The sequence below is a fragment of the Homo sapiens genome, chromosome 10 (assembly GCF_000001405.40).
Source record: "Homo sapiens chromosome 10, GRCh38.p14 Primary Assembly".
Classification (NCBI taxonomy): Eukaryota; Metazoa; Chordata; class Mammalia; order Primates; family Hominidae; genus Homo; species Homo sapiens.
In genome coordinates this window covers 5,745,179-5,757,303 of record NC_000010.11, presented here as the reverse complement: position 1 = coordinate 5,757,303, position 12,125 = coordinate 5,745,179, and the positions used below count along the sequence as shown (strand labels likewise).

General features: G+C 43.1%; 1 protein-coding gene across 5 annotated transcripts in view, besides 2 other annotated features; it reads right to left on the bottom strand.

The window, feature by feature from the left end:
• The window catches only part of TASOR2 (transcription activation suppressor family member 2), a 78,903-nt gene that overhangs the window by 6,437 nt on the left and 60,341 nt on the right, over positions 1 to 12,125 (bottom strand). For all 5 annotated transcript variants that reach the window (NM_001321783.2, NM_001321785.2, NM_001321784.2 and 2 more), the window contains 2 exons: positions 7,277 to 11,125; positions 566 to 691 (listed from right to left, as the gene is read on the bottom strand). In NM_001321783.2, the coding sequence (NP_001308712.2) occupies positions 566 to 691; positions 7,277 to 11,125 (3,975 nt within the window). The remainder of the gene's footprint in view (positions 1 to 565; positions 692 to 7,276; positions 11,126 to 12,125) is intronic.
• Positions 4,809 to 5,423: an enhancer, noted in NCBI's record as "H3K27ac-H3K4me1 hESC enhancer chr10:5793844-5794458 (GRCh37/hg19 assembly coordinates)". NCBI's record gives its function as "activates a minimal SCP1, AML or CMV promoter by ChIP-STARR-seq in naive H9 embryonic stem cells {active_cell/tissue: H9 hESC(naive)}" and the evidence as "EXISTENCE:reporter gene assay evidence [ECO:0000049][PMID:30033119]".
• Positions 8,494 to 8,788: a silencer, noted in NCBI's record as "tiled region #2494; K562 Repressive non-DNase unmatched - State 17:Gen3'". NCBI's record gives its function as "represses a minimal TATA promoter and a strong SV40 promoter by Sharpr-MPRA in K562 cells {active_cell/tissue: K562}" and the evidence as "EXISTENCE:reporter gene assay evidence [ECO:0000049][PMID:27701403]".

Sequence of the window (12,125 nt, the reverse complement as noted above, 5' to 3'; positions counted from 1 at the left end):
AAAGGTCTCAAACTCCCAAAGGTTGGAAATAACACGTCATGAGGGAAGAGGACACATCTGAGGTTGTGGGCACTGAAAAGTGAGGTCACCTCACTTCGCCGTCATTCGTCTCCAGCTCCCCTTGGTGCCAGCACCGACGACTGCCTGCTGATGACGGCAGGTTTATGCACCCAGCCTTTGTCCGTAGTTGGGTCTTCTTGAGACAAGCAATTACTTTGATTCAACTAGCTGGTAAATATAATGGTTCAGAAAATTTCCAAAAGGTCTTTTAAGGCAAGATTTCTTATTGTTAGACATCAAGTGATGCAGATTTATATCTCAGATGAAAAAATTTAGCAACCTCTCACCTAAGTCTCCCTTAGTTAATATGATTTTTTTAACCATCTGCCCTACAAATAACTTGGTAATATTGCAGTATTCTATAATACACCATCTTCCCACTTAAAGGCCCAACAGTAATGTCTGTTAGCTTCTCTTCTACATAAAAAAAGAGGGATGAGTCTGAGCATTACAGAACAACTTATGTGCCTGGAATACGTTTCTTTGTAAGGTATTTCCAACCGACCTGATGCAAATGTGATGATATATCTTCATTTCTGATGATGATGATTAGTGTATCATTCTCTCTGTGGAAAGCTTGACAGAAGTGCTGAGGTTCAATTTCTGTATGGCCTCCTTTCCTCAGAAGGTTCTGAAAGATTTACAAATAGCCATTATTAAAAAAAGGGTACTTCCACAGAACTACCTGTATAGTTTATTAAAATAATGAAAAGCAGTATAGTCTAATAAGGCAACCATAAATGACAATTTGTCTTATTACTAAATAAGCACCTTTTATATATAAAATAAATGAATCAGGTATTGTTAACAACTGGACTTAGAAGTTGATTTCAAAGGTAAATAAAGTATCAAAGGCTGATTTTCTTTTAGAACATCAGAATAATCTACATAAATGAGTTTCATCTGCTTCAAGGCATGAGCTACCTTGAGAATACCAGATATATACTTTAAAAATGCTACCTGTAGTTAAAGCATTTCTAGAGCTTTAAAAAACAATACCCATGTATTTCTTTACCATTAAAGGGGACTGATTTTGGAGTCAGCAGTCCCTTGGGTCTACGTCTCAGAATAAGACAGGTGATGCAGTTGAAACAGCATGCGATTGTACGGTGCCACTGCAGTGCAGCCCAGTACAATCAACACACAGAATGGCTCCCTAATCATCCTGACTGGGAGGGTAAATTTGTGTAATTAAATAAATTCTATAATCCTACACTCCCTATGACTTTGACATTTCTTTGCTTTTTTTTTTGAGACATGGTCTCACTCTGTCACCCAGGCTGCAGTAAAGTGAAACGAACATAGCTCACTGCAGCTTTGACCTCCCGGGCTCAAGCAATCCTCCTACCTCAGCCTCCCAGGTAGCTAGGGCTACAGGTGCACATCACTGGGCCCGGCTTTTTTTTTCTTTTTGGTAGAAATGGAGGTCTATGTTGCTCAGGCTGGCCTCAAGCAGTGTTGCCCAAGCTAGTCTCAAGCAGTTCTCTTACCTCAGCCTCCCAAAGTACTAGGATTCCGGGCATGAACCGTGGCACCTGGCCTTGACATTGACTATCTGGCTGAAGGATTCTGGGTTTCTGTTATGCCCAGAAGACTGCCTGACCATCACTTATTTCCTTCATAAAAGTGAAGTGTTACTTTGATCTGTTTCCCTTGGATCTTTTTTTTTTGAGATGTTGTCTTACTCTGTCACCCAGGCTGGAGTGCAGTGGTGAAATCTCGGCTCACTGCAACCCCTGCCTCCTGGGTTCAAGTGATTCACCTCCCTGAGCCTCCCTAGTAGCTGGGATTACAGGTGCCCGCCACCACGCCTGGCTTATTTTTGTCATTTTTAGTAGAGATGGGGTTTCACCATGTTGGCCAGGCTGGTCTCAAACTCCTGACTTCAAGCGATCCGCCTGCCTTGGCCTCCCAAAGTGCTGGGATTACAGGCGAGAGCCACTGTGTGGCTCCCTTGGATCTTTAAACAACTCAAATTCTGACTATTTCAATTCATTCAAAGTATATGGTATGATTTTCAAAAAAATTCTTATGAGATTTAACGAAGAGCTTACTGAAATATCTAGGCATAAATCTCTAGTCTTCATTTATTTGACTAACAAATTATTTGAATGAATACATTTTCATCAAATCCTGTGGTGGTCTGACCTATTCTGTCACACCCTCAGATTTCTCTTTTTTTTTTTTTTTTTTTTTTGAGACAAGAGTCTTGCTCTGTTGCCCAGGCTGGAGTGCAGTGGCGCGATCTCGGCTCACTGCAAGCTCTGCCTCCCGGGTTCACGCCATTCTCCTGCCTCAGCCTCCCGAGTAGCTGGGACTACAGGCACCCGCCACCACGCCCAGCTAATTTCTTTTTGTATTTTTAGTAGAGATGGGGTTTCACGGTGTTAGCCAGGAAGGTCTCAATCTCCTGACCTTGTGATCCGCCCACCTCGGCCTCCCAAAGTGCTGGGATTACAGGCGTGAGCCACCGCGCCCGGCCGTGTCCACTTTCTCAGTTGACAAGTAGTTTTACCTTTGCACATTTGTTATTTTCTGTTGTAAACAGTGACACCACGTGATAAAATATTATGAAACAATACATTCACTATAGAAACAAGCAAGATATCTAGAAGAACTCCTGCTATGGAGTTCGAGACCAGCCTGGCCAACATGGTGAAACCCCATCTCTACTAAAAATACAAAAATTAGCCAGGCATGGTGGCACGCACCTGTAATCCCAGCTATTCGAGAAGGTGAGGCAGGAGAATCACTTGAAACCAGAAGACGGAGGCTGCAGTGAGCTGAGATCGCGCCACTGCACTCCAGCCTGGGCGACAAGAGCAAAACTTCATCTCAATTAAAAAAAAAAAAGTACTTCTGCTATGAATAAAACTTAGCATTGCCATGCTCTCTTCTTCATGAAAATCATTATCACTTCATCTGGAAAGGAAGTGAGAACTAAGATTACTGCTCTGTTGTGGAGTCTCACTCTGTCGGGCAGGCTGGGAGCACAGTGGCTTACTACAACCTCCACATCCTGGGTTCAAGTGATTCTCCTGCCTTAGCCTCCCGAGTACCACAAGCGCGCGCCGCCACACCCGGCTAATTTTTTTATTTTTAGTAGAGACGGGGTTTCACTATATTGGCTAGGCTGGTCTCCAACTCCTGACTTCAGGTGATCCACCTGCCTCGGCCTCCCAAAGTGCTGGGATTACAGGCATGAGCACTGCACCCTCTGTTGCTTTTTGAGAAGATGGAAGCTGAAAGAAACCAAGTATTTTGCTCACTGTGCCAAAACGTGTACGTGACCAAGATGCTGACTTGGTTGATTCTAGAGTCACTCTATCTCATGTCAGGGTAGAGGATGTATAATTAATCAAATAAAATTAACCTGAATTCAAGGTAAAAGAAAAAAACTAAACTGATTTCCAGATTGCTTTTGGAGGCTGAGGGCCTTCCCAAAGACTGAAGAGAGTGAAGACCATTCAATAACTTTTCAACTACAGTGCTGCTTACCGAAATGGCAAGGAACTTGGAGCAAAGACAACAGAGGGAATATAAAACCAAATCCGGCAACCATTCATTAAGAATCTCGGCAAACAGGCTGGGCGGAGTGGCTCATGCCTGTAATCCCAGCACTTTGGGAGGCCAAGGTAGGCGGATCACAAGGTCAGGAGATTGAGACCATCCTAACACGGTGAAACTCCATCTCTACTAAAAAACACAAAAAAATTAGCTGGGCATGGTGGCGGGCGCCTGTAGTCCCAGCTACTCCGGAGGCAGAGGCAGGAGAATGGTGTGAATGCGGGAGACAGAGCTTGCAGTGAGCCGAGATCGCGCCACTGCACTCCAGTCTGGGTGACAGAGCGAGACTCTGTCTCAAAAAACAAACAAACAAACAAACAAACCTTGGCAAACAAAAGGATCCTCAGCCAGGGAAAAAGAATACAATTAGGCTAAAGAGCAGCTTCCACAAGTTTGAAGAAAACATTTACAGTCATAGTTAGTTGACTCAAAATAGGAGCCACCTTGCAGAACAGAGCTGTGACTCTAGCAACAATGGAGTTTCACGTTAAGGCAGTGACTGTCATTTTTCCAATCTCTTCTCCATCCGCTAAGATATCGTCCTAAAATGCAAATATGATGCTACTTCTTTCTTAAAGGATCTTTTACAACAAATCACAACCAGTTTTTAAAGAATTTAAAAAATCCTTCCCTACTCCGCCTGCTTCACTTGAAAAAAAAACCTTTAAAAACATCTTTTAGAAAACTTCATCTCTGGCGGTCTAGTGGTTAGGAGGAAAAAACCTAACAGAACCTTTCCAGTGGCTCCCAGCGACCTCAGGATGAAGTCTAAATAGCTCAGTGTGACTTAAGGCCCTGCCACTGCCATATGAGGCGTGAGGCTGTTCTCTCCCACAGCCCAGCCTGAGCCTCTGGCTGACATGGCTCACTCACTCTGACCAGCCCTCTGGCACAAGGAGGCTGTTCCCTGTGGTGTTTGCCAGCTACACACCTCCATATGAGAAGAGCAGGGCAGACCAAGAAATCTTTATGCAGCTCTGTGGTTTCTGCAGTGGCCTTAGTACTCCAGATGAGAAGTGGTCTTGTGACCCTGCACCCAGGGGACACTGTGACAATAAGGGACACGTGTCCTTCATTACTAAGTAACTCGTTACTCAGTAATCCAGCCCCCATGGACTCGCCACGTGACATTCTGGAGTTAGCGCAGGAAATCAGCAGAAGTGATGTAAGTGAAGTCTGAGACAGACCCAGTGGGCATGTGGAGCCGACACACGGCCTGCACGTGGCCTGCAGGCCCCTCATGTGTGGAACCGACACACGGCACGTCCAGTTTTGCACGCGGCCTGCAGGCCCCTATGCTCTGCTTTCTGTGCTGCAGCACTTCCTGAGCAAAGACCTCCCCGGCCAGGCCAATCACCCTCAATGCGTCCTCGTGGCACCTGCGTCACATTTACCATCACTTTCATTTCACATTTATTTGTGTGACTCTTTTAATCAGTGTTTTCCTTGTCCCATTAGACTATAAGAATCATGACAAAAAAGCAACATCCCCCCCACCTGCACATGTTGGGGCTCTGAGGTAGATACTAAACAGGACTGCTGACATCTGAATGGAGCTTTCTGCTGCAAGGGTAGGGGGAGGGCAGCTGGCCCGCGCTCAGGTCAGGGAGTTTCGGGAGGTCAGGATTAGTGCCTCAGTGAGGGGTCTCATTATACCTGGGGTTGGGAGGAGGATGGGGGAGGGGGACTTGGGAGGGACAATAAGTCAAAACACTGAGGATAAACAGAGTCAACCTCAGAGAAGGGAGCTCCACACATGGAGAAGGAGGCTAGCACAAACCTGGCAGTACTGGACTAGAATTGGGGATGAGTGTGAACTCCTCTGTTTTTGCTTTTTATACATAAATAGAGATGTAGATATACGTATGTACATATGTATATTTCTTGGCTTTATGTGCTGAGAGGACCTAGAAGCAAAGACACCAAGTGACACTGAGTTCATTCACGCAGTGCCTAGATGGTGGTTCTAAATGCCATTCTTCACTAAAGAGTCACAGCTCCTTGGAGAAATGCTTGACTTCAAGACTAGGGCAAGGAAAATACACGATAAGCCTGGAACATTATGTTACACCCCAAAGTAAAGAAGTGCCCGAAGAATTATGGCGAATTGTCAAAAGGACACAGAAGCCAACTTAAAGGGACTCCCACTGGCTGGGTCTGGGACAATCTAAGTATTAAAATAATGAAGAAACAGATGATAACCCTTTAAGTAAAACAAAATGTGCCATGGTCCATAGTGATACAGATAAGCAAATGAATAGATGAATGGAAAATAAGGGAAAGCTCTATTCTACAGCCGAATACCAACTAATAAATGCAGAAGGAATCTGGTGGAATTTCAGTATCACTATTTGGCAATCATCATAGTAATAACTGATTCAGATAAGAATCACCAGTCGATGTTAAATCTAGTGGATAAAAGTCTGATAAGGAATAGGATTTTACACAGTCTCAAGTTAGCTCCCAACTTATTACTAAGTTCAACATAACTTTACACTGGAGAAACCTGGCAGAAATCATCTTAACCAAGTGAAAAGGTTAATATACCAGTAAGGGGATAAATCAACATCGGGTGCCTCCTGATACAATGAATGCACTGACAAGAGCACTACATGATATCTGAGTATTCTCATCTAAAATGCCTAAGTCATGGAGAAACAACACATGAACACAAACGGAAGGAAATTCCACCAAATAACTGGCCTACAGTCTTCAAAACTGTTAAGGTCATAAAAGACAAGGAATAACAGAGGAACTATTGCAGACTGAAGACATGACAATTCTAGACACCTATGATCCTAGACCTAGATGAGGTTAATGGAGATGGTCACTTTAATTAATATTATATGAACTTCCTGATGCACAGGGTTGTTCTGTGGTTAAAAAGATGAGGATCCTTGAACTCAGGTAATACACATTTAAGTATCAAGAGGTAATGGGACACTGTGTGTGCAACACATTTGCAAATGGTTCAGAAATGTTAATATTGGGGTATCTGGGTAAAGGGTACTATTTCTGCAACCTTTATGTAAATTTGAAATTAAAAACAATTAAATTTTTAAAAATACTGTCTATGCCCGAAATAGAAGAGAAATAAATTCTGGGAGGATAAAACAATGAAGTTAATGGTGAATCAAGACAGGTTCAATCAAGACAGGCTCCGCCCATGCCAGAATTTCACCATGGTTCCATTACTTAAATTTAAGGACTATGTACTCCATGTACTCACCGTAACATCAGTTATCCTAACATTCAAATTCAAATTAAAAATATATCCAAAACCAAAAGAGGTCCTACTTGACCACCCACACTAACGGACAATCTACAACCACTTTTCAAAAAATCTGTATTTTAACATCGGAATGTGTTTGTATTTACACTTGAAGTATGGGCATGTCTACACTGGTAACTTTTTGTGAAAAAAAATTAGTCATTGCCCTAATTCTGGAACATAATACTAATTTTCAAATATAGTACAAATGGCAGATCCTGCAGGAAAACATTTAGTATGCAGATAAAGACTAAGCTGTGAAATTTAAATACTATGTCATACCATGATTTCTTTTTGATGGCTAATATGCTAAATTTATTATTTCTAAAACTAAAATCAGCAATTAAAATAATACGTAAGACGTGGCTGGCACTTTACCTTTGTTCTTACAAAGAATGATTTGTCTTCTGTTTCGACAAGGTAGAACAGGAAGGTACTTTTACAAGCCTCTTTCACAACACTTCTTAGTTTGACGTGCAAATTGGTGCACACGTCTATGATTATGTCTTCATAGGAGGCTGACCGTCCTGGGAAAGGCAGATACATCTCTTGAGCAGTGGCTTCTCCAGAAACATCATTTAGCTCTTTGTCTTGGAAAATGAATTGGTTGCTATTCTTCATCACCTTGTTGAATTCAGCATACTCATTGAGAATAAGTGAAATATCATTCCGAGATTCCTTCACAGTACTGTTGTATTTCAGTTTGTTGAGGTGGAATGAAACAGTGTGATTTCTTTGAGAATTTCTAAGATCTCTATTATGACTACATCTCTCTCTCCAAGAGGAAGAGCTGTCCAGACTGCTGGCTGTGTAGCCTCTCCTGGGCTGCCCCTGTGGTCTGGGATCTGACTCCACAACTGTTACCAGAAGGGGGCTTCTGCTCCTAGGTGCAGGATGCAGAAATGGGGCCTCAGAGATTTTTGTCGAAGGGAAAGCACCAATGGAGATCTGGGTTGGTGACTCCTTTGGAAAGACATTGGCAGAGGAGGCAGAATGCTGAGAATCCCCATTCTTTATGGTCTGTTTTAGTTTATGTGCAAAACGCAGATACTCCAGGTCTAAAGTGTTCTGGGTGAGGTCGTCTGCCACCTGCCAAGTGCTTGTCCAGGAGCTGGGCAGGCCACAGTTTGCACTGAAACTCGGGTGCCTCCTCAGGCCGTGTGAAGTTCTCATGGTATCTTTGAGTTCTTTTGTTATAGAGAAGTTGGCGTAAGTCCTGAGGATCCCGTGGAGATCTCGGATTTGGACGTAAGGCGGCACACACTTCTCTTCTTTCTTTACCGCAGCAGTCCAGTGCCCGGGAGGGAGGCTCGTCTCCATGCCTGGAACCCAGCTAGAGCAGCCCCAGTCCTCTTGGTTGTTGTTGTGGAAGTTCAACGACGACTCATAGCCATCTGTGGGAACATCTTTTTTCCTGGTGTAACTACCTCTTAAAGTATAAGAATCCTCCAAATCCAGTCTGGGATTTCTACAATCACCAAGCAGGTCTAGATCAGAATCTCCAGAGAGTTCATAGTGCATGTCGGAATTCACACCGACCTCTCCATCTCTGCCTAGGGTTTCAGAACCAGCCTCAGCCCTGAGCCCCTCCCCACTGTTCTCAATTTCTACGTGCTCTGTGGCTATTCCACAAACAGAAGTATCAAAGGATTCTGAAACAAAGGAGGCCAAAGGCTCTTTACTGAGGTTTTCCTTGGTGTCTGCTGTATTTTGGTAGGGACCAGCACAAAGGGAGGAAACCCCGACATTCAATAGCTCCTTTGTTTCACATGTTGACACATCTTGCAGCGTGTGGATGGCTTTGCGTTCACCTTTTAGAGAAGATGTGGTGTTGGACTGAGGGCCAGCAGTGCCTGGACCTGTGGTTTCTTTATGTAACTCAGCTTCAGGCTCACCATTCTTAAGCAAACTGGCCATTCTGCCTGCTGGTATTTCCTGTGCTTGAAACACTGGCTCTGCATTTATTGGTCTTACATAATGGGTTAATGTAGCATTGTCTGAGGAAGAACAAAGCGTGGGGACCACTGAGCACATGCATCCCTGTGTAGAATAAGCTCCATCAACCGAGGCAGCTGTCAAGGACTTCACCTGCAGATAAATGCCTTCATCTGTTTTCAAATCACCGGGAAAGAGATGGTTCTGACTGCTTTTAGGGCTAGTCTGCTGTTTTACTGACACATTCACTATACCACTTGGTGCAGTTGTGGAAACCAATGTGTCAGACAAAGACTTATTTTCAATAACATTTCTAGGACCAAATGGAGGTTCACTGGACTCCAAGACAAGATGTTTTAAGTCCAAATTTCTATTCTCTATACTAACTGGCTGCAATGGATTTCCTGATTTTACCAGTTTTTCAGGAGAAGGACTGAAGTCACCTGTGCATTTGGCAGCTGAGGCAGGCTGGTTTAACTCCCTACCATAGCACTGCACCTTTCCTGAGAAAGATAAACCCTCATCATGCTCACTTGAGACAATTTCCTCAGTTACTTTACCAGGAAGGGTTGGTCTACCTGTTCTTCCTGGATGATCAGTTAATATTAGAGGCATTTCGGCAGAGACCTGCATTTGTTGTACCTGGGTAAAGTTATCTTGCCCCACTGGATGGGTAGGACCAACAAAAACATTTTCTTTTTCTGTTATGCCTAAGTCTTCTGACTCACATTGGGAGATTTGGTTGCTCTTCTCACACTGTGTACCATGAAGTTTTAAAATGCATGGAGTCACAGCCTGATATGGTCGTGTCTCTTTAACTGGTACTGGAGGTTCAGGACTAGACGCTGGTGATACTTCTTCAATTACAGAATCAAAGGGAAAATCAGAGGTCACATTAATTTCCTCTGCAATCTCAAGGGTGCAATTTTCTTTAGAAAGTATTAAAGTAACTGGTTGTAAATTATCCCCCTTTCTCTCCTTATTTTCTACTGGTTCTTCTGACACTGAGGGATATACTGACACATTGTCAGCAGAACTCACTTCTCTGCTTTCTGTGAGAGCCACCTCTTCCGGTTCACCTATTTCCTCAGCTACATCCTGAAGTTCTAAATTTGAGAATGGGGCCTCCTCAAATTGCTCTATTTCACCAGCTGGCATTTCTTCTCTGGGACTTGTAGGTGGTGATATTGTTAGAGCTAAGTCAATGTCAGAATCTTCCTCTGATAACTCTAGGCTGACCTCTCTACTCACAGACAGGCTTGTTTGTTTGATAAATACTGAATCAAACGCTTCCAAATTCATATTTTCAGTGTTTGGACCATTCTTGTGATTCTTCCTTAGTTCTAAAGAGTCACCTGATGTGTGGCATCCTGACGAAATGCAGTTAAGTGAACACTGCCTTCCCAAGGTGGTAGAGGCTGATGATGAGTCCACTTCAACCTGTGTCAGTTCTAGAAGCCCTTCTGAAGATAGGCCGAGGAGACTCTGAGTCTGTGAAAGGAAATCCTGAGTGCATCTCACTTCTTCACTGGGTGATAGATGACTAGAACTTTTAGCTAATGATAGTGCCTCCATGACCATTGTTTTATCAGATGGTAGAGAGACTGGAAGGGGCGTCTCCTTCTGTAATGAACACACTGCTTTATCAAGTGTCTCTCCACCTACTGACGAGGCACAAAGGTACTTAGTGCCCTTCTGTCCTGCAACTACTAGAGAGGGAATGTCCCTCAGGCCTTGTGTTCGTGCATTTTCCGAGGTGGATACAGGATGTCTAAGGCTTGCAGCAGGTGATACTTGCTTAATCAACTCCTTCTTAAAGGTTGTACGTTCATCAGCAGTATTTACACCTTCTGTCTGTATTGGTACATGTGCATTTTTTTCAAAGGTGAGAGTAATTGGTTCCGGGTTAATCACTGCACACCCCATATTATCATCCTTTCTTTCCAAGGAAGGGTGACATTCATTGTTTATGGGGCTGCCATGTTGGATAAGGTCCTGTAAAGTACCTGTTTTTGTTTGCACTGCTGCATCAAGAATATCCACTTTGTTTTCAAGGGTGCCGTACACAGAGCTCTGACATATCACTGGCTGACTGCCAGGCCCATCGTAAGTCCTGGTGAATGTGGCTTGAGTAACAGTGCCACTGTAAGAAGCCACTCTTGTGCTATCCAGTGGCTGAACAATTTCTTCTTCACTAGGAACAGAAGGTCCATTAGTTTGTGTACTTCCAATACCCGAAAGCACAAGATTAGAAGTCTCCAATGATTCTTGTTTAGCTTCTTCCCCAGTTACCTGAAACGGCCAAAGTAAAAAAAAAAAAAAATCAGTCATATAAAATGTTTTTTATACGATTATATGTACATGTGAAGAACAGAAAAGATAAAAATTAATTTTAGTTTGTGAATGTTCTTCTGAATTTTCTAGCTAAAAGAATATCACAGGGTACAAATCAAGCAAGTCCCTCTTTTAAAGGCAGACTTAAAATACCCCCCAGTGGGATTTGTTTTCTTTAAAACCACACACAGAAGAGAGCTCCAAGCTTTTTGGAAGAAAAATAACTAGACCACTGACAATTTAAAAGACTTTAAATGCAGCCTGTTTGCTACTTAGCACCGCTTAATCCAGAAGTGTAGCACTAGAGAAAAAGCATTCAATTTTGTTTTTAATAAATGAGATTAATTTTTTTTTTTTCAAGACAGCGTCTTGCTTTATCGAACAGGCTGCAGTGCAGTGGAGTGATCTTGGCTCACTGCAACCTCTGCCTCCCGGGTTTAAGTGACTCTCTGCCTCAGCCTCCCGAGTAGCTGGGATTACAGGTACATGCCACCATGCCCGGCTAATTTTTGTATTTTTAGTAGAGATGAGGTTTAGCCACGTTGGCCAGGCTGGTCTCAAACTCCTGACCTCAAGTGATCCACCCACCTCGGCCTCCCAAAGTGCTGGGATTACAGGTGTGAGCCACTGTGCCCAGCCTAAAAGATAATTTTTAAAAAGCAAATAACATTTTTAACATCCGTTTTCAATTAGACCATAAGTACACCATCATCTGAAACTTTCCCATGAGGCAACAGAGTAAATTAATTACTACCCCCTGTACTCAGAATACATTGATTCTAGTCAACAAAGGCCCCTCATCCCTTAGCTATCTTCTTTGCATGAAACTGGAGATTCTTTCTCATTTGAATACCTATTGTACATGGCAATTGAAAACTTTATCAATGCAGTTTGCAATCATAAACTGAACTAAAGGCACTGATTTAAACAGTAGCAAGCAGGATTTAGGTTAAACATT